Source organism: Homo sapiens, chromosome 5, assembly GCF_000001405.40.
Source record: "Homo sapiens chromosome 5, GRCh38.p14 Primary Assembly".
Lineage (NCBI taxonomy): Eukaryota > Metazoa > Chordata > Mammalia > Primates > Hominidae > Homo > Homo sapiens.
The window spans coordinates 53,788,328-53,810,960 of record NC_000005.10 but is presented as its reverse complement, the minus strand read 5'-3'; the positions used below and the strand labels follow the sequence as shown (position 1 = coordinate 53,810,960).

Below are 22,633 nucleotides of genomic sequence, written 5' to 3'. Positions count from 1 at the left end.
TCAGGTACTTCTTTATAGCAGTGTAAGAATGGACTAATATACCAGGTCGCTGGTAAAGCATTATTTCGGTGTCTGTGAGGGTGTTTCTGGAGGAGACTGGCATTTGAATGAGTGGACTGAGTAAGGAAGAGCCAACCTCACTCCATGTGAGTGGGCACCATTTAATCCTTCAAGGCCTAGAATAGAACAAAAAGGCAGAGGAAAGGTGAATTCATGCTGTCTGCTGGAGGTGGGCCATCCATCTTCTCCAGCCCTTGGACATCAGAACTCCAGGTTCTTGGGCCTTCAAACTCAGACTTATGCCAGTGGCCTCCTAGAATCTCAGGCGTTTGGCCTTGGCCTGAAAGTTATACCATCAGCTTCCTTGGTTCTCAGACATTTGGACTCCAACTGAATTATACCACCAGCTTCCCTGGTTCTCCAGCTTGCACGTGGCATAGGATGGGACTTCTCTACCTCCATAATCACATGAGCCAATTCCCATAAAAATTTCCTCTTACATATCTATAGATACTGACATATCTTCATCTATATCTGATTGGTTCCATTTCTCTGGAGAACCCTGGTACAATGGGCAAATCATGACACACTGTAGGACAGATTTTGCCCATGGAATACCACTAATCTAAACCAACTCTTTCATATTACAGATAAAGAAATTGAGTCTGGTTTTCTCATCCTCCACTTTCAGAAGAGAGTGACTCCAGTTTAAGTATCATTTAAATTTTCCACTTTTGTTTTAGGTAATAGAGAGCTGCTGTCTTACAGAATTCTAGAGCCATTGAAGGTGGAAGTGGCTCTGAGCAGGGGATCAGGAGGGGTTTCTCTGGAAAGACAATGAAAAAACTCAGATTCAGTACCCAGATGTGTTGTTTTTGGTCTACCAGAGGGGCGGACCAAACCTTTTCAGTTGACATTTCCTTCAACACCAGGCTTGTTTTGGGAGTCTGGGCCAGGTGACAATGATGGCACTAAGAGCTTGTTTTCCCAATTAGAGTCAAAACATTTGCTGAGCAACCCCATAAATTGGCTAGACAAAAGTAAATAGGAAGGAGAGACATGGGAAAGGTGAGGTACCACACAGCCCTGAGTGAAAAGAAAGTTGGAGGGAAGTACCCTGCAAAAAAAAAGCTGAGAGAGAAGATGCAGGGATGACTGGGCCAGCCAATTAGTCAACATTCAGCATTCATTCATCCCTCAACAGCTATTTATCATGCATCTATCATATCCCAGGCACAGCTCTTGATACTAAAGATACAACTGTGAACATGACTGACCAAGCACCTGCCCTCGTGGAGCTCACACCATTTTTCATGCAAGCATCCTACATCTATGAATCTTTATTTTTTTGAAACAGGGTCGCACTTTGGCCTAGACTAGAATACAGTGGCATCATCATGGCTCATTGCAGCCTTGACCTCCCTGGGCTCAGGTGATCCTTCCAACTAAGCCTACCAAGTAGCTGGGACTACAGGCATGTGCCTAGGTGGGTAGATCAGGAGGTCAGGAGTTCGAGACCAGCCTGGCCAAGATGGTGAAACCCCATCTCTACTAAAAATACAAAAATTAGCCAGCCATGGTGGCGGGCGCCTGTAATCCCAGCTACTCAGGAGGCTGAGGCAGGAGATTTCTCCAACCTGGGAGGTAGAGGTTGCAGTGAGCTGAGATCACGCCACTGCACTCTAGTCTGGGCAACAGAGCAAGACTCTGTCTCAAAAAAAAAAAAAAAGTATAATTATAGGTTTGTGTGATAGAATCTTCGTTCAGTTCATTTTCTTAATCAAGAAAGAATATGAAGAGCAATAGTGGTTTGTGACTGACTAGAAGCCTCAGTAAATTTTCATTCTTTGCATCTGTAGAGGTAAATTTCTCTGAACAATGCTATTAATCATCATTGCATGGGTTAATGTCTGCATCCATATAGGCAGCAGTAAATTACTTAAATGATTTTCCCACTGAGCATTAATAATAAATGGAGTTAATTTTTCCAGGAATTCACTTTATTTTTCCCTTTAGTATTTCTAGTTTGTACAAATTACTTTTTTTATTATTATACTTTAAGTTCTAGGGTACATGTGTACAATATGCAGGTTTGTTACGATGGTATACATGTGCCATGTTGGTTTGCTGCACCCATTAACTTGTCATTTACAGTAGGTATTTCTCCTAATGCTATCCTTCCCCCAGCCCCTCACCCCATGACAGGCCCCGGTGTGTGATGTTCCCCTCCTTGTGTCCAAGTGCTCTCATTGTTCACTTCCCACATATGAGTAAGAACATGCGGTGTTTGGTTTTCTGTCCTTGTGATAGTTGGCTCAGAATGATGGTTTCAAGCTTTATCCATGTCCCTGCAAAAAGGACATGAGCTCATCCTTTTTTATGGCTGCATAGTATTCCATGGTGTATATGTGCCACGTTTTCTTAATCCAGTCTATCATTGATGGACATTTGGGTTGGTTCCAAGTCTGCTATTGTGAGTAGTGACACAGTAAACATACACGTGCAGATGTCTTTATAGTAGCATGACTTATAATCCTTTGGGTGTATACCCAGTAATGGGATGGCTGGGTCAAATGGTATTTCTAGTTCTAGATCCTTGAGTAATTGCCACACTGTCTTCAACAATGGTTCAACTAGTTTACACTCCAACCAACAGTGTAAAAGCATTCCTGTTTCTCCACATCCTCTCTAGCATCTGTTGTTTCCTGACTTTTTAATGATCGCCATTCTGACTGTCATGAGATGGTATCTCATTGTGGTTTTGATTTGCATTTCTCTTATGACCAGTGATGATGAGCATTTTTTCATGTGTCTGTTGGCTGCATAAATGTCTTCTTTTGAGAAGTGTCTGTTCATATCCTTTGCCTACTTTTTGATGGAGTTGTTTGCTTTTTTCTTGTAAATTTGTTTAAGCTCTTTGTAGATTCTGGATATTAGCCCTTTGTCAGATGGGTAGATTGCAAAAATTGTCTCCCATTCTGTAGGTTGCCTGTTCACTCTGATGGTAGTTTCTTTTGCTGTGCAGAAGCTCTTTAGTTTAATTAGATCCCATTTGTCAGTTTTGGCTTTTGTTGCCATTGCTTTTGGTATTTTAGTCATGAAGTCTTTGCCCATTCCTATGTTCCGAATGGTATTGCCTAGGTGTTCTTCTAGGGCTTTTATGGTTTTAGGTCTAACATTTAAGTCTTTAATCCATCTTGAATTAATTTTTGTATAAGGTGTAAGGAAGGGATCCAGTTTCAGCTTTCTACATATGGCTAGCCAGTTTTGCCAGCACCTTTATTAAAGAGGGAATCATTTCCCCATTTCTTGTTTTTGTTAGGTTTGTCAAAGATCAGATGGTTGTAGATGAGTGGGGTTATTTCTGAGGCCTCTGTTCTGTTTCATTGGTCTATGTCTCTGTTTTGGTACCAGTACCATGCTGTGTTGGTTACTGTAGCCTTGTAGTATAGTTTGAAGTCAAGTAGCATGATGCCTCCAATGTTGTTCTTTTTGCTTAAGATTGTCTTGGCAATGCGGGCTCTTTTTTTGTTCCATATGAAATTTAAAGTAGTTTTTTCCAATTCTATGAAGAAAGTTGTTGGTAGCCTGATGGGGATGGCATTGAATCTATAATAACTTTGGGCAGTATGGCCATTTTCATGATATTGATTCTTCCTATCCATGAGCATGGAATATTCTTCCATTTTTTTGTGTCTTCTTTTATTTCATTGAGCAGTGGTTTGTAGTTCTCCTTGAAGAGGTCCTTCACATCCCTTGTAAGTTGGATTCCTAGGTATTTTATTCTCTTTGTAGCAATTGTGAATGGGAGTTCACTCATGATTTGGCTGTTTGTCTGTTATTGGTGTATAGGGATTCTTGTGATTTTTGCACATTCATTTTGTGTCCTGAAACTTTGCTGAAGTTGCCTATCAGCTTGAGATTTTGGGCTGAGATTATGGGGTTTTCTAAATATACAGTCATGTCATCTGCAAACCTGGACAATTTGACTTCCCCTTTTCCTAATTGAATACCCTTTATTTCTTTGTCCTGCCTGATTGCCCTGAGCAGAACTTCCAACAGTATGTTGAATAGGAGTGGTGAGGGCATCCCTGTCTTGTGCCAGTTTTCAAAGGGAATGCTTCCAGTTTTTGCCCATTCAGTATGATATTGGCTGTGGGTTTGTCATAAATAGCTCTTATTATTTTGAGATATGTTCCATGAATACCTAGCTTATTGAGAGTTTTTAGCATGAAGGACTGTTGAATTTTGTCAAAGGCCTTTTCTGCATCTATTGAGATAATCATGTGGTTTTTGTCATTGGTTCTGTTTATGTGATGGATTACATTTATTGATTTGCATATGTTGAACCAGGCTTGCATCCCAGGGATGAAGCCCACTTGATTGTGGTGGATAAGCTTTTTGATGTGCTGCTGGATTTGGCTTGTCAGTATTTTATTGAGGATTTTTGCATCAATGTTCATCAGGGATATTGGTCTAAACTTCTCTTTTTTTGTTGTGTCTCTGCCAGGCTTTGGTATCAGGATGATGCTGGCCTCATAAAATGACTTAGGGAGGATTCCTTCTTTTTCTATTGATTGGAATAGTTTCAGAAGGAATGGTACCAGCTCCTCTTTGTACCTCTGGTAGAATTCGACTGTGAATCCATCTGGTCCTGGACTTTTTTTGGTTGGTAAGCTATTAATTATTGCCTCAATTTCAGAGCCTGTCATTGGTCTATTCAGAGATTCAACTTCTTCCTGGTGTAGTCTTGGGAGGGTGTATGTGTTGAGGAATTTATCCATTTCTTCTAGATTTTCTAGTTTATTTGCGTAGAGATGTTTATAGTGTTCTCTGATGGTAGTTTGTATTTCTGTGGGATCGGGGGTGATATCCCCTTTGTCATTTTTTATTGCGTCTATTTGATTCTTTTCTCTTTTCTTCTTTATTAGTCTTGCTAGTGGTCTATCAATTTTGTTGATCTTTTCAAAAAACCAGCTCCTGGATTCATTGATTTTTTGAAGGGATTTTTGTGTCTCTATGTCCTTCAGTTCTGCTCTGATCTTAGTTATTTCTTGCCTTCTGCTAGCTTTTGAATGTGTCTGCTCTTGCTTCTGTAGTTCTTTTAATTGTGATGTTAGGGTGTCAATTTTAGATCTTTCCTGCTTTCTCTTGTGGGCATTTAGTGCTGTAAATTTCCCTCTACACACTGCTTTGAATGTGTCCCAGACATTCTGGTATGTTGTGTCTTTGTTCTCATTGGTTTCAAAGAACATCTTTATTTCTGCCTTCATTTCGTTATGTACCCAGTAGTCATTCAGGAGGAGGTTGTTCAGTTTCCATGTAGTTGAGTGGTTTTGAGTGAGTTTCTTAATCCTGAGTTCTAGTTTGATTGCACTGTGGTCTGAGAGATGGTTTGTTATAATTTCTGTTCTTTTACATTTGCTGAGGAGTGCTTTACTTCCAACTATGTGGTCAATTTTGGAATAGGTGTGTTGTGGTGCTGAAAAGAATGTATATTCTGTTGATTTGGGGTGGAGAGTTCTGTAGATGTCTATTAGGTCCGCTTGGTGCAGAGCTGAGTTCGGTTCCTGGATATCCTTGTTAACTTTCTGTCTCGTTGATCTGTCTAATGTTGACAGTGGGGTGTTAAAGTCTCCATTATTATTGTGTGGGAGTCTAAGTCTCTTTGTAGGTCTCTAAGGACTTGCTTTATGAATCTGGGTTCTCCTGTATTGGGTGCATATATATTTAGGATAGTTAGTTCTTCTTGTTGAATTGATCCCTTTACCATTATGTAATGGCCTTCTTTGTCTCTTTTGATCTTTGTTGGTTTAAAGTCTGTTTTATCAGAGACTAGGATTGGAACCCCTCCCTTTTTTTGTTTTCCGTTTGCTTGGTAGATCTTCCTCCATCCCTTTATTTTGAGCCTATATGTGTCTCTGCACGTGAGATGGGTTTCCTGAATACAGCACACTCATGGGTCTTGACTCTTTATCCAATCTGCCAGTCTGTGTCTTTTAATTGGAGCATTTAGCCCATTTACATTTAAGGTTAATATTGTTATGTGTAAATTTGATCCTGTCATTTTGATGTTAGCTGGTGATTTTGCTCGTTAGTTGATGCAGTTTCTTCCTAGCCTTGATGGTCTTTACAATTTGTCATGTTTTTGCAGTGGCAGGTACCAGTTGTTCCTTTCCATGTTTAGTGCTTCCTTTGGGAGCTCTTTTAGGGCAGGCCTGGTGGTGACAAAATCTCTCAGCATTTGCTTGTCTGTAAAGGAATTTATTTCTCTTTCACTTATGAAGCTTAGTTTGGCTGGATATGAAATTCTGGGTTAAAAATTCTTTTCTTTAAGAATGTTGAATATTGGCCCCCACTCTCTTCTGGCTGGTAGAGTTTCTGCCGAGAGATAAGCTGTTAGTCTGATGGGCTTCCCTTTGTGGGTAACCCCACGTTTCTCTCTGGCTGCCCTTAACATTTTTTCCGTCATTTCAACTTTGGTGAATCTGACAATTATGTGTCTTGGAGTTGCTCTTCTCGAGAAGTATCTTAGTGGCGTTCTCTGTATTTCCTGAATTTGAATGTTGGCCTGCCTTGCTAGATTGGGGAAGTTCTCTTGGATAATATCCTGCAGAGTGTTTTCCAACTTGGTTCCATTCTCCCCGTCACTTTCAGGTACACCAATCAGACGTAGATTTGGTCTTTTCACTTAGTCTCATATTTCTTGGAGGCTTTGTTCATTTCTTTTTATACTTTTTTCTCTAAACTTCTCTTCTCACTTAATTTCATTCATTTCGTCTTCCATCGCTGATACCCTTTCTTCCAGTTGATTGCATTGGCTCCTGAGGCTTGTGCATTCGTCATGTAGTTCTCGTGCTGTGGTTTTCAGCTCCATCAGTTCCTTTAAGGACTTCTCTGCATTGATTATTCTAATTATCCATTCGTGTAATTTTTTTTCAAGGTTTTTAACTTCTTTGCCATTGGTTCAAACTTCCTCCTTTAACTCGGAGTAGTTTGATCTTCTGAAGCCTTCTTCTCTCAACTCGTCAAAGTCATTCTCCATCCAGCTTTTTTCCATTGCTGGTGAGGAGCTGCGTTCCTTTGGAGGAGGAGAGGCGCTCTGATTTTTAGAGTGTCTGGTTTTTCTGCTCTGTTTTTTCCCCATCTTTGTGGTTTTACCTACCTTTGGTCTTTGATGATGGTGATGTACAGATGGGTTTTTGGTGTGGATGTCCTTTCTGTTTGTTAGTTTTCCTTCTAACAGTCAGGACCCTCAGCTGCAGGTCTGTTGGAGTTTGCTGGAGGTCCACTCCAGACCCTGTTTGCCTGGGTATCAGCAGCGGAGGCTGCAGAAAAGCGGATATTGGTGAACCGCAAATGCTGTTGCCTGATCGTTTCTGTGGAAGTTTTGTCTCAGAGGAGTACCCAGCCATGTGAGGTGTCAGTCCGCCCCTACTGGGGGATGCCTCCCAGTTAGGCTACTTGGGGGTCGGGGACCCACTTGAGGAGGCAGTCTGCCCATTCTCAGATCTCAAGCTGCGTGCTGGGAGAACCACTACTCTCTACAAAGCTGTCAGACAGGGACATTTGAGTCTGCAGAGGTTACTGCTGCCTTTTGTTTGTCTGTTCCCTGCCCCCAGAGGTGGAGCCTACAGAGGCAGGCAGGCCTCCTTGAGCTGTGGCAGGCTCCACCCAGTTCGAGCTTCCTGGCTGTTTTGTTTACCTACTCAAGCCTTGGCAATGGCGGGCGCCCCTCCCCTAGCCTCACTGCTGCCTTGCAGTTTGATCTCAGACTGCTGTGCTAGCAATGAGCGAGGCTCCGTGGCCGTAGGACCCTCTGAGCCAGGTGTGGGATATAATCTCCTGGTGTGCTGTTTGTTAAGCCCATCGGAAAAGCGCAGTATTAGGGTAGGAGTGACCCAATTTTCCAGGTGCCATCTGTCACCCCTTTCTTTGACTAGGAAAGGGAATTCCCTGACCCCTTATGCTTCCCGGGTGAGGTGATGCCTCACCCTGCTTCAGCTCATGCATGGTGTGCTGCACCCACTGTCTGGCACTCCCCAGTGAGAAGAACCTGGTACCTCAGTTGGAAATGCAGAAATCACCCATCTTCTGCGTCACTCATGCTGGGAGCTGTAGACTGGAGCTGTTCCTATTCAGCCATCTTGGCTCCCTGTTTTTTTCTTTATTAGTCTTGCTAGCGGTCTATCAATTTTATTGATGGGGGTCTGTTGTGGGGTGGGGGGAGCGGGGAGGCCTAGCATTAGGAGATATACCTAATGCTAAATGATGAGTTAATGGGTGCAGCACAGCAGCATGGCACAGGTATACATACGTAACTAACCTGCACATTGTGCACGTGTACCCTAAAACTTAAAGTATAATAATAATAAAATAAAAAAATAATAATAATTTAAAATCCAAAAAAAAAATTTTTTATTGATGTCTTCAAAAAACCAACTGCTGGATTCATTGATTTTTTTGGAGGGCTTTTGTGTCTCTATTTCCTTCAGTCCTGCTCTGATCTTAGTTATTGCTTGCTTTCTGCTAGCTTTTGAATTTGTTTGCTTCTGCTTCTCTAGTTCTTTTAATTGTGATGTGAGGGTGTCGATTTTAGATCTTTCCTGCTTTCTCTTGTGGGCATTTAGTGCTATAAATTTCCCTCTACACACTGCTTTAAATGTGTCCGAGAGATTCTGGTATGTTGTGTCTTTTTTCTCATTGGTTTCAAAGAACATCTTTATTTCTGCCTTCATTTCGTTATGTACCCAGTAGTCATTCAGGAGCAGGTTGTTCAGTTTCCACGTAGTTGTTTGGTTTTGAGTGAGTTTCTTAATCCTGAGTTCTAATTTGATTGTACTGTGATCTGAGAGACAGTTTGTGGTGGTTTCTGTTCTTTTACATTTGCTGAGGAGTGCTTTACTTCAACTACGTGGTCAATTTTGGAATAAGTGTGATGTGATGCTGAGAAGAATGGATATTCTGTTGATTTGGGGTGGAGAGTTCTGTAGATGACTATTAGGTCTGCTTGGTGCGGAGCTTAGTTCAAGTCCTGGATATCCTTGTTAACCTTCTGTCTCATTGATCTGTCTAATATTGACAGTGGGGTGTTAAAGTCTCCGGCTCTAAGGACTTGCTTTATGAATCTGGGTGCTCCTGTATTGGGTGCATATATATTTAGGATAGTTAGCTCTTCTCGTTGAATTGATCCCTTTACCATTATGTAATGGCCTTCTTTGTGTCTTTTGATCTTTGTTGGTTTAAAGTTTGTTTTATCAGAGACTAGGATTGCAACCCCTCCTTTTTTTTTGCTTTCCATTTGCTTGGTAGATCTTCCTCCATCCCTTTATTTTGAGCCTATGTGTGTCTCTGCACGTGAGATGGGTTTCCTGAATACAGCACACTGATAGGACTTGACTCTATCCAATTTGCCCATCTGTGTCTTTTAATTGGGGCATTTAGCCCATTTACATTTAAGGTTAATATTGTTATGTGTGAATTTGATCCTGCCATTATGATGTTAGCTGGTTATTTTGCCCATTACTTTATGCAGTTTCTTCCTAGCCTCAATGGTCTTTACAATTTGGTATGTTTTTGCAGTGGCTGGTACCAGTTGTTCCTTTCCATGTTTAGTGCTTCCTTTGGGAGCTTTTGTAAGGCAGGCCTGGTAGTGACAAAATCTCTCAGCATTTGCTTGTCTGTAAAGGATTTTATTTCTCCTTCACTTATGAAGCTTAGTTTGGCTGGATATGAAATTCTGGGTTGAAAATTCTTTTCTTTAAGAATGTTGAATATTGGCCTCCACTCTTTTCGGGCTTGTAGAGCTTCTGCCGAGAGACCCACTGTTAGTCTGATGGGCTTCCCTTTGTGGGTAACGAAACCTTTCTCTTTGGCTGCCCTTAACATTTTTTCCTTCATTTCAACCTTGGTGAATATGACAATTATGTGTCGTGGAGTTGCTCTTCTGAAGTATCTTAGTGGTGTTCTCTGTATTTGTTGAATTTGAATGTTGACCTGCCTTGCTAGGTTGGGGAAGTTCTCCTGGATAATATCCTGCAGAGTGTTTTCCAACTTGGTTCCATTCTCCCTGTCACTTTCAGATACACCAATCAAACATAGATTTGGTCTTTTCACATAGTCCCATATTTCTTGGAGGCTTTATTTATTTTTACTCTTTTTTTCTAAACTTCTCACTTTATTTCATTAATTTGATCTTCAGTCACTGATACCCTTTCTTCCCCTTGATTGAATCAGCTATTGAAGCTTATGCATGTGTCATGTAGTTCTCGTGCCATGGTTTTCAGCTCCATCCGGTCATTTAAGGTCTTCCCTACACTGTTCGTTCTAGTTAGCCATTCATCTAATCTTTTTTCAAGGTTTTTAGCTTCCTTGCGACGGGTTCGAACATCCTCTTTTAGCTCAGAGAAGTTTGTTATTACTGACCTTCTGAAGCCTACTTCTGTCAACTCATGAAAGTTTTCTCCATCCAGGGTTGTTCCATTGCTGGCAAGGAGCTGCTATCCTTTGGAGGAAAAGAGGCACTCTGGTTTTTAGGATTTTCAGCTTTTCTGCTGTGGTTTCTCCCCATCTTTGTGGTTTAATCTACCTTTGGTCTTTGATGATGGTGACCTACAGATGGGGTTTTGGTGTGGATGTCGTTTTTGTTGATGTTGTTGCTATTCCTTTATGTTTGTTAGTTTTCCTTCTAACAGTCAGGTCCCTCAGCTGCAGTTCTGTTGGAGTTTGCTGGAGGTGCCCTCCAGACCCTGTTTGCCTGGGTATCACCAGCAGAGGCTGCAGAACAGCAAATGTTGCTGCCTGATCCTTCCTCTGGAAGCTTTGTCTCAGAGGGGCACCCGGCTGTATGATGTGTCAGTTTGCCCCTACTGGGAGGTGTCTCCCACTTAGGCTACACGGGAGTCAGGGACCCAGTTGAGGAGACAGTCTGTCTGTTCTCAGAGCTCCAACACGGTGCTGGGAGAACCACTGCTCTCTTCAGAGCTGTCAAACAGGGACATTTAAGTCTGCAGAAGTTTCTGCTGCCTTTTGTTCAACTATGCCCTGCCCCCAGAGGTGGAGTCTATAGAGGCAGCAAGCCTTGTGGTGCTGTGGTTGGCTCCGCCCAGTTCGAGCTTCCAGGCCACTTTGTTTACCTACTCAAGCCTCAGCAATGGCAGACGCCCCTCCCCCTGCTGGGCCGCTGCCTTGCAGGTTGATCTCACTGCTGAGCTAGCAGTGAACAAGGCTTCATGGGCGTGGGACCTGCCAAGCCATGCGGGGGATATAATCTCCTGGTGTGCTGTTTGCTAAGAACGTTGGAAAAGCGCAGTATTTGAGCAGGAGTGTCCCGTTTTTCTAGGTGCTGTCTGTCACAGCTTCCCTTGGCTAGGAAAGGGAAACCCCATGACCCCTTGTGCTTCCAGGGTAAAGTGACGCCCCGCCCTGCTTCAGCTTGCCCTCCGTGGGCTGTATCCGCTTTACAACCAGTCTCAATGAGATGAACCAGGTACTTCAGTTGGAAATGCAGAAATCACCCATCTTCTGCATCAATCATGCTGGGAGCTGCAGACCAGAGCTGTTCCTATTCAGCCATCTTGGAATGGACACCTCAAATTACTTTTAACCATAGTGACAATAACAAAATTCTTCCGTGTCTGCTTAATCTAATATACCCACAGAACCCCAAAATGTCTACTAAATAAGGGGTCATGGTGTCTGCACCTTGCTTCTTATAGGTTTTGAGGTGTTGAGATTGAATTCATTCTTTATATGTTACCATTGCCTTACAAGGAAAATTGGTGCAATGCCTTTTATTGCATGTTCCACTGCTTATACTGTGCTTTTTTATACACAGCATTGCTCATTCCCTCCTAGAACTCTGCCCTCTTCCCTTCAGCCCATTACCAAGCTTGTTTCTTGCCTTCCTTGAGGGCTTTCTTATATAGATATTATTCCTAAGAAATACTGTCAATGCTTTCCTGGAGAGCAGAGGCTTGAAGCAAACTCATAGTGTAGAACAAGGCAGACACTGCTGGTCTTGTCTGCTGACAAGAAGAACCACAGATCCAGGGATTGAAACAAGATGTATGCACCCTCCGGGCCCTGGTCAGCTAAGGAGGACAGCTAAGAGACTAACTTCTGTCTCTCTGCTGGTGGCAAGCTAGCCATACTGAGTGGGCAACCAGAAGCCCAAACCATCTGGACAGTCTTGGACTCCCAGACTGGTTGGCTGTAGGTCTCATAACAAAGAGTATCCCCAGCCAAAGTCATGAGGCTGACTGTGGATTCCTAGGAACGGAAACTATGCCCTATCTCCTTGGTATCCTGCTTGGCACAGTGCCTGGCACATCAAGATCCCTCAGTGGACATTTGCCAAACCTTTAACTAGATAAGATTTTTTCCATCACTCCTGGTCACCCCACACAGCCCTTGGGATTGCCGGGCATCTGTCCGTCCATACCTTAAGAAAACAGGCGCCGGGCGCGGTGGCTCACGCCTGTAATCCCAGCACTTTGGGAGGCCGAGGCGGGCGGATCACGAGGTCAGGAGATCGAGACCATCCTGGCTAACACGGTGAAACCCCGTCTCTACTAAAAATACAAAAAATTAGCCGGGCGTGGTGGCGGGCGCCTGTAGTCCCAGCTACTCGGGAGGCTGAGGCAGGAGAATGGCGTGAACCCAAGAGGCGGAGCTTGCAGTGAGCCGAGATCGCGCCACTGCACTCCAGCCTGGGCGACAGAGCGAGACTCTGTCTCAAAAAAAAAAAAAAAAAAAAAAAAAAAAAAGAAAACAGGCATAAGTCATCATCAATTTGAAGTTTAATAGGTCACCTCTTCATTCTTGGAGCTTTTTTTGTTATTTCTGAAGAGGAAGACAAATGTTTAAGTAAAGAGGATTTTTTTTTTTTTTTTTTTTGAGACAGAGTCTTACTCCATTTCCCAGGCTGGAGTACAGTGGTGTGATCTCGGTTGACTGCAACCTCCACCTCCTGGGTTCAAGTGATTCTCCTGCTTCAGCCTCCTGAATAGCTGGGATTACAGGTGGCTGCCACCACTGGCTAGTTTTTGTATTTTTAGTAGAGAGGGGTTGGTTTCACCATGTTGACCAAGCTGGTCTCGAACTCCTGACCACAAGTGATCCACCCACCTCAGCCTCCCAAAGTGCTGGGATTACAGGCATGAGCCACCATGCCTGGCCTTGGAATACTATTTTTTAAATAAGGAGACAAATAGCCATAGTGACCAGACAGTTGAACTCTCTATGTGTCTTTCCTTGCAGGAAACGTTCATGGTGCAGTAGATACTTTTGGTTGCATTTTGTATCTAACAGCCATTTCCCCAGGTTTTCTAATTAGTAGAATTCTGATACATTCATGTGTGACTCTGTGTTTTAGGAAAGCTGGGCCCATGTTCAGGACCAAAAGGCGATTAGTCTTGATTAGTCCAAGTTGATCATGGTGACTGTGTTCTCCTTGCTGACAGTTGGCTTAGAAAAAGATTTGGGAACAATTATGACTAATAAGGTACAAAGGTAAGGTTTTTGAAAAGGGTTGGGGGGAGGCCTGGGAAAGTTTTCTTGTTGGCAAAGAAATATCATTTTCACTATGGACTTCACATTTTGTTGTGTGAGGATGCTATGGTGAAGGTTGTTGTCACTGTTTTTTGACCATAAGGAGACAAGCTAGAGGACCAAAGCCAACACCCTAAGTATTGCAGTGCAGAATTATGAGAAGGATCTGGTCCTTGCTGATGTTGTTGAGCCTCTAAATTTACCAACCCTAGACCTACAGTACCTCAGACTGCTCCTCATTTGAGAAAATGATACTCTTAATTTTTAAGCCAGTTTTGTTTAAGTCTGTTACATACAGCCAAAAAAATAAAGATGAGGAAGCCAACTCTCATCAGGAGATTGCTAAGTGTGCAAATATTCAAACTGAAGGGAGCCAGTTGAATACTTTAAATTGCAAATAGTCCATAGATCTCTGATGCATCCATTTTTCCATAGGGATCAGACAATCAAGTCTTCCGGTGAGCTGTCTCTTTCCCTGAACTCTGAACAGTGCACACTGCCAAATTGAAATCCATTTTTTGTAATTTAGGAATCTTTTCAGGTGGATTTAAGCCCTGAGAACTAAGGGATTTCTCCTAGTCTTCTAAAGTCACAGTCTATTTAGGACTGCCTCCTCTGTCTGGTGGCTGCCATGGCCAGGGTTCTGACATACCTGTCTTCCCAGCTCTCCACACTGTGGGTATGGGGAGGCACATGGAGGGCTGAGAAAGAGGCTACCACTCCCTCTGTCCCTGACTCCAGGGGCCACTGAGATGCTTTCAGCCCTGGACTGTCAGCTAGCAGCTTTACTCGCACATAGATACTTTCTTTGGGGAGAAATAGTTTTCTCTCTTGCTCTCTGATAAATTTCCTTTAAATTTGTCTCACTATGTTTAATATCTTTTATCACTACTGGAAAGGAAATTGGTGGTTTCAGACACTCTACTTGTACTTTTAACTCAATATGCCTCCTCCATATACACTTTTAGGGTCCTGTATTAGTTGCAAATGGCATAAGAGTAAACTGTCCTTCCCAGGCAAACCTTTGTTGAGGAATATCAGCTAAGGTAAGACGAGGTAGGAAACAGGATTTAGATAGCGCGATCTGAGCATGAAGACAGTGGTACTTCTCATGAGGGGAGTCGTTTATGAGCCTCTAGTTGAAGATTGCCCTTCTACAGCTGAAAGAGGGAATCAGTATATCATGAATCAAGCAAAGACTTATAAAGGCATCTTAAAGATGAGAAAAGAACTCCCAGTTTGGTAATCACATATAGGCGTTACAAGGCAAAGAAGAGCCCAACAAAAGGGACGTTGATCATTTATGGAAGTGGATATAGCAGGGAACTATGCTGAGATGCTGAGAAGTCACTATTTCCTGAGCAGCACTGATAGCTTTTTATCTGTCCTATTTCAGGGAGAGAACAGTTATAGTCTAAGACAAAGAAGTCATTGCTCAGCTCTGAGTTTCAAAATAGTTTTTAAGTTCATAAGAGACATAGTAATATAAAAGTCAAAGTGCTTTTGACTTGTTATTATTAGGCAGGCTTTGATGGGAGAGAATTTCTGCTGGGATTCCAAAATCTAGCTTTTTTATATCAAGAGCAAAGGTAGAGAACTTACCACATAGAGTTTATACATTAAACTTAAAGTAGGAAAGAATGCATGCTGATCCAAGTACAGGTGTATAGTTCATACAGAAAGATAAAACCCTTCTCTGGGCAGATGGAGCAGGGAGAAGATGGAAAGAAAAAGAGGACATTCAGATGCTGATATTGAGCACTGCTCCCTGTCAATCCCATAATTCAGCACACTCAGGATGAAACCCTAAGGGTGAAAACAGAAACCGTGTTAAATAGTATATTAATATGGTTAATTGCATGATTCACACATTCAACAGATATTTATTGAGTGCCTTCAAAGTACCTGACACTGTTATAGGTGTGTGAACTATATCAGTGAACAAAACAGACAGTGATGCCTGCGCTCCTGGAGCTCATATTCTAACTGAGGAAAACAGATATAAAAAATAAACATAATAATTGATTTAATATGATCTGGTGATAAAAAAAAAATAAAGTAAGGATTCAAAGCCAGATTGGAATTCTAAACCTGCACTCTTAACCACTGCACTATAGTTTTCTATTAGTTTTTTGACCATGGGAGATCTACAAAGAAACTTCTCATTAGTGATGCTAAACAGCTGGGTCTGAACTGTTTCTGAGGTGAGGGAGACACATACATGTAACCTGTTTTGAACATAATAAGAATCACCCATGAAAATACATAAAGACAGGAAATGGCATAGGGAAGGGCACAACCCAGCAGTGCATCCTGGAACCTTAAATTTCCTCTATGTTCTAAACACTGCTTTTGGAAAAGCAAGAGACACCCACAAATTAAATCCAAATGTCCAAAAAAAAAAAAAAAAAAAAAGACCTGAAGAATGAGCAATGGCATACATCTGATTTACACCCATGTTGGCTCCCTAGGAGGGCTGACCCTCAGCTAGACCAGCCTCCATTCTGCAGGATTTGGCTCTTTGCAAATGTAAACCCACTACTGGCCTCTTCCCAGCAGTCACTGCCTAATATTGCAGGGGCTTCCTGAAATACTCATTTGTGTTACCTTGTTCTCTTTTCTAAACTCACAACCGAGAAAATATTTAATAAGTAAAATTACCCATGGTATATAATTTTATCCACATTTCTTACAAAGATTGTCTCCTCCACACTTCAGCAACTAGTTGAAGCCACCAGGAAGGGATTACTGTTGTTATAAAATGTGTAAACAATTAATATATGAAATTCTCATTCATCTTGGTATCTGACAGGCTCCCCATATATTCAAGGGTTCATGTGCATATACCCACACACAACATGGAAGGTGCTTACCCCAGAGTGGGTGACCAGTAAATGCAGAACTGAATTGTCAGTTTTCTTTGCCTCACCATTCAGCCTAAAAAGATTATCTCACCCTGGAAAGAATAAACATCTGTAGATATATAGCACATGTATTGGTTTGGGGTTGGGGTGCAGGGAGGGAGTAATCTATCCTCTGATATGGTTTGGCTGTGTCCCCACCCAAATTTCATCTTGAATTGTAGCTCCCATAATTTCCATGTGTTGTGGGAGGGACCCAGTGAAAGATAATTGAATCATGGGGGCCGTTCCCCCCATGCTGTTCTCCTGGTAGTGAATAAGTCTCACAAGATCTGACGGTTTTGTAAGGCGTTTCCCCTTTCACTTGGCTCTCATTCTCTCTTGCCTGCCACCATGTAAGACATGCCTTTTGCCTTTTACCATGATTGTGAGGCCTCCCCAGCCACGTGGAACTGAGTCCATTAAACCTCTTTTTCTTTATAAATTACCCAGTCTTGGGTATGTATTAGCAGTGTGAAAACAGACTAATACATCATCCTTCCACAGATATGGAACATGATTCAGGCCTGATTAATTGTAATTCCTTCCCCCTGGCCATGGAGATTGGCTCAGAGATGGACACAGCATCTTAGCCAGGCCATTAAGAGTCTTCCAGGACTTTTGGCACTATCTAGAAAGAGGTTTGTTCTTCCACTTGAGCCACTAAGCTGGTGGAATGTGAGTCTGAAGCTTTGACAACTTTGTCTCCATGTGTTTCCACCTGAGGACAAAGCCAGGAGTTAAAGAGGGACCTAGGGTCTTGAGAGGTCACTTGAGTCTCTGGCTATTGCTTCTTCTGAAGCTAGATGGCCTTCCCAGTGATATAAATTAATACATTTCCGTCTTTGCTTTAACTAGATTGAGTTTCTGTCACTTAAAACCAAATCAGTGCTAATACATGATGATAAACATATGCTATCATTTGTTAGTATCTACCATATGCTAGGCACAGTGCTAGGTACTTTACATAGAGTGTCTCACAATTGTACTCTTAGTTGAGTAACATTCTGTTTTAGAACAGGAAAATAAGAACAAGACAGTAAGATTAAGCAGCCTGTACAAGTGTTATTAAGTGGTCCAGGCTCCCAAGTCCATGCTCTTTTCCCCCTATCCTGACACTAGGCAACAGCTGAAGCATGGTGGGAAATGGAATTGGCATCAGAAGAGTGAGTCACTTAGTCGTGACTTTTGGAGGTTCATTTACTTAGTTCATAATACCTCATGAAGTAAAGAATATGAACAAGATTGGCAAATGATAAGTCTATGCCAATTATTTTTTTTAAAGATAGCTTTATGGATATATAATTAATATACCATATAATTTATCTACTTGAAGTCTACCATTCTATGGGTTTTAGCATATCCGTAGATATGTACAGACCTCACCACAGTCAATTTTAGGACATATTCCTCACATCAAAAACCCTGTACCTTTTAGCTGTCATCCCCATCTCTTCTTATTCCCCCACCGCCAACCTAGCCCTAAACAACCACTAATCTACTTTCTGTCTCTATAGATTTCTTTATTCTGGACTTGCATATGAATAAAGACATATAGTATGTGGTCTTTTGTGGCTTCTTTCATGTTTTCAAGGTTCATCCATGTTGTAGCATGTATGAGAACTTCATTCCTTTTTATTATACCAGTGATTCTTGACCTCTCTTGGGATTAAGGGGTCTTTTGAAAATCTGCTGAAAGCCAAACATTCCTCCCCCTGCAAACATACATATGTAACAGTTTCCAAGGCTTCCTAGATCCCTTGAAACTCATTCACAGAACTCAGTATAATTGTATGAACCTAAGTATCTCTAAAAGACAAGACTTTAAATGGCACTTCTTTTCAATGTGCTGTACTCTCTACATTTGTGTAACTCTGGCCAAAATAGGCCCAGAGTTAAGCAGTATCTGTAAGGAGACAGCTTGCCTGGGAACCTAGTCCAAGCAGGGCCGCTGGGTACACACCACCATCACCAACAACAGCTGCAGAAGTTCTTGACGGACTTTATGAAGATACAAAAGGATTAAATGAGAATGACTAAACACACTATGAAATAAGAACTGTGTGCAGTTTACTATATAATAAACACATACAGTGTGTTTGCATAATAGGCTATAAATGATATATAAAGGGTTCTGGTAAGAGTTTCCAATTCCTCTTCACTAGTTACTGGTGAAATCTTATCAGGTGTGGCTGAGAAAATAATCTCTTTTCTGGATGAGTTGGAGTTCTGATGATCTGTGGTTTCCCACACTGTCCTTGTAACCCAGCAGCCTGTACTTGGAATGTGTGGCTTCTTTATATCTGGGCCCTTGGTACCATCAAAGAATACTTCTTATCCAATAGTTAGTACGGTGGCTATCAGATAATTGAAAAAATTGGTTTAAGAGGAGAATTACATAAGAAAAATATGTGCATTACCCTTAACATTTTATTTTTACTTAAAACATATTAGGTTCATATAAGCATATGAAAGTGTGAATATTCTACTATTTCTTACACTCCAAGTAGTACTTTCATGGGTTACAACCTGAAATGAAGATCTTTATTTCATACAGCTTTTCTGATCAGGTTTCTAACCATTTTACTTGCATTATCAGCTACACCCATATTGCATCACCTACAATTTTTTCAATTTTTGTTGTTGTTGTTGTTGAAGTGGACCAGAACTTAAAGGCATTTGCTCTAGAATCTGAATACGGAATCTATTTCTAGGTTTTTTCCCCTCTAATCTTTTTTTTTTTTTTTTTTTTTTTGAGACAGGGTCTTGCTCTGTCACCTAGGCTGGAGTGCAGTGGTACAATCATGTCTTACTACCGCCTCAGCCTCCTGGGCTCATGTGATCCCCCCCACCTCAGCCTCCCAAGTAGCTGGGACTACAGGCATGCACCACCACACCCAGCTAATATTTGTAATTTTTGTAGAGACGAGGTCTTCCTATGTTGCCCAGACTGGTCTCAAACTCTTAGGCTCAAGTGATCCTCATTCCTCAGCCTCCCAAAATGCTGGGATTACAGGCATGAACCACCATAGCCAGACTCTCTCTAATACGTTATAGTTGTCTTGTTTATACCTAATCTGATAGCAACTTTTTCTTTAGAGACTCACCTCTGTTGAATCCTTCTAAGTTTTCCTTTTGTTTGTTTGTTTTTTTGGAAATGGAGGCTCACTCTGTCACCCAGGCTGGAGTGCAGTGTTGCTATCTCGGCTAACTGTAACCTCCACCTCCTGGGTTCAAGCAGTTCTCCCACCTCAGTCTCCAGAGTAGCTGGGACTACAGGCGCACACCACCACGCTTGACTAATTTTTGTATTTTTAGTGGAAATGGGGTTTCACTGTGTTGGCCAGGCTGGTCTCAAAGTCCTGACCTTGGGTGAACCACCTGCCTCAGCATCCCAAAGTGCTGGGATTACAGGTGTGAGTCACCATGCCTGGCCCTAAACTAACTTTCATAGAAACAACTACCGTTTTGCTCTCATGTTTCACTTGTATAATTACAAATGAATTACATTATTACAGGAACAAGGCCAGGATACAGACTCTAAAAAGTGAAGTCTGGGTAAATTGACAGTTCAGTTGGTAGATCCAGAAGTAGAGAAGTATAGTAGAAAGAAGCCTACTAGCTACTAGTATTAAGAGATAAAATGAAATATATATGTGGAATATATGTTATATGCATATACAATATAGTCATATATAGGGCTTTGACTTTTATACATATGTACGACTGTTTTAGGGGGCTATGTAATAGGTTTCTGAATGTGCATGTAAACTAAAATTCATAATTCACATTTGAAATATATACAGACTCCTCTTTCTTTTTTTCTTTTTTTTTTTGGAGATGGAATCTTGCTTTGTTGCCCAGGCTGGAGTGCAGTGGCGCAATCTTGGTTCACTGCAACCTCTGCCTCCCAGGTTCGAGCAATTCTCCTGCCTCAGCCTCTGGAGTAGCTAGGATTACAGGTGCGTGCCACCATGCCCGACTAATTTTTGTATTTTTAGTAGAGACGGTGTTTCACCACATTGGCCAGGCTGATCTCAAACTCCTGACCCGCCTGCCTCGGCCTCCCAAAGTGCTGGGATTACAGGCTTGAGCCAGCACACCCAGCCCAGACTCTTCTCTTAAAGGAAGCATTTGCAGAATTCTTTTCTATTACAACTAAATTCCTCCTAACATAACTATTAGCATAACTACTAAAAATCATCAAGTTGGTCAGTTACCTTCTTCCTAACTACCCTACTCACTTCCCACTGCTCATTCCGGTCAGACCTGTCAGGGATGTATGTGCCAAGACCCACCTTCTCAGGGTGGGATGAGATCCTCACATGGCTGTCTTGCATGCCTCTGCCTTGTCTCTGTGACCTGAGGCGTCTTCACTGTTACTTTGTCTACAGATATTAGGATATTTCAGCTTCTTTTCAATCTTGCTGCCACCACCTTGGTCCAATCTACCATTGTCTCCATTCAGATGTCTGCAGACTTCTTACCTGTTTCACAGAATCCTCTGTGACTCAATCCAACACATTCTTTTTTTTTTTTTTTTTTTTTTATACTTTAAGTTCTGGGATACATGTTCACAACGTGCAGGTTTGTTACATATGTATACATGTGCAATGTTGCTGTGCTGCACCTGTTAACTTGTCATTTGCATTAGCTATATCTCCTAATGCTATCCCTCCTCCTTCCCCCCACCCCACGACAGGCCCTGGTGTGTGATGTTCCCCTCCCTGTGTCCAAGTGTTCTCATTGTTAATTCCCACCTATGAGTGAGAACATGCAGTGTTTGGTTTTCTGTCCTTGTGATAGTTGGCTCAGAATGATGGTTTCCAGCTTCATCCATGTCCCTACAAAGGACATGAACTCATCCTTTTTTATGGCTGCATAGTATTCCATGGTGTATATGTGCCACTTTTTCTTAATCCAGTCTATCATTGATGGACATTTGGGTTGGTTCCAAGTCTTTGCTATTGTGAATAGTGCCGCAATAAACATACGTGTGCATGTGTCTTTATAGCAGCGTGATTTATAATCCTTTGGGTATATGCCCCATAATGGGATGGCTGGGTCAAATGGCATTTCTAGTTCTAGATCCTTGAGGAATTGCCACACTGTCTTCCACAGTGGTTGAACTAGTTTACAGTCCCACCAACAGTGTAAAAGTGTTCCTATTTCTCCACATCCTCTCCAGCACCTGTTGTTTCCTGACTTTTTAATGATGGCCATTCTAACTGGTGTGAGATGGTATCTCATTGTGGTTTTGATTTGCATTTCTCTGATGGCCAGTGATGATGAGCATTTTTTCATGTGTCTGTTGGCTGCATAAATGTCTTCTTTTGAGAAGTGTCTGTTCATATCCTTTGCCCACTTTTTGATGGGGTTGTTTGATTTTTTCTTGTAAATTTGTTTAAGGTCTTTGTAGATTCTGGATATTAGCCCTTTGTCAGATGGGTAGATTGCAAAAATTTTCTCCTATTATATAGGTTGCCTGTTCACTCTGATGGTAGTTTCTTTTGCTGTGCAGAAGCTCTTTAGTTTAATTAGATCCCATTTGTCAATTTTGGCTTTTGTTGCCATTGCTTTTGGTGTTTTAGTCATGAAGTCCTTGCCCATGCCTATGTCCTGAATGGTATTGCCTAGGTTTTCTTTTAGGGTTTTTATGGTTTTAGGTCTAACATTTAAGTCTTTAATCTATCTTGAATTAATTTTTGTATAAAGATATAAGGAAGGGATCCAGTTTCAGCTTTCTACATATGGCTAGCCAGTTTTCCCAGCACCATTTGTTAAAGAGGGAATCCTTTCCCCATTTCTTGTTTTTGTCAGGTTTGTCAAAGATCAGCTGGTTGTAGATGTGTGGTATTATTTCCAGGGGCTCTATTCTTTTCCATTGGTCTATATCTCTGTTTTGGTACCAGTACCATGCTGTTTTGGTTACTGTAGCCTTGTAGTATAGTTCGAAGTCAGGTAGCGTGATGACTCCAGCTTTGTTCTTTTGGCTTAGGGCAATCCAACACAATTCTTTATATGGCAGTCACAGTGGGTCTTTCTGAAATATGAATCGTTCATATCACTTTCCTTTTAAAGTGGATTCTTCAATGCTTCTCATTCTCTTAGAGACCAGACTTTTCAACAGTACCCTCAAGATCCTTTGTAACATGGCCTCTTCTACCCTTCTAGCCTCTTTG

The 22,633-nt window shown here is 41.8% G+C and overlaps 1 long non-coding RNA gene across 2 annotated transcripts in view, besides 1 other annotated feature; it reads left to right on the top strand.

Moving 5' to 3' along the window:
• The window catches only part of LINC02105 (long intergenic non-protein coding RNA 2105), a 43,633-nt gene that overhangs the window by 8,722 nt on the left and 12,278 nt on the right, over window positions 1-22,633 (top strand). The window lies entirely within an intron of this gene.
• Window positions 11,056-11,256: a silencer, noted in NCBI's record as "peak5241 fragment used in MPRA reporter construct". NCBI's record gives its function as "represses an SCP1 promoter by STARR-seq MPRAs in K562 erythroleukemia cells {active_cell/tissue: K562}" and the evidence as "EXISTENCE:reporter gene assay evidence [ECO:0000049][PMID:32103011]".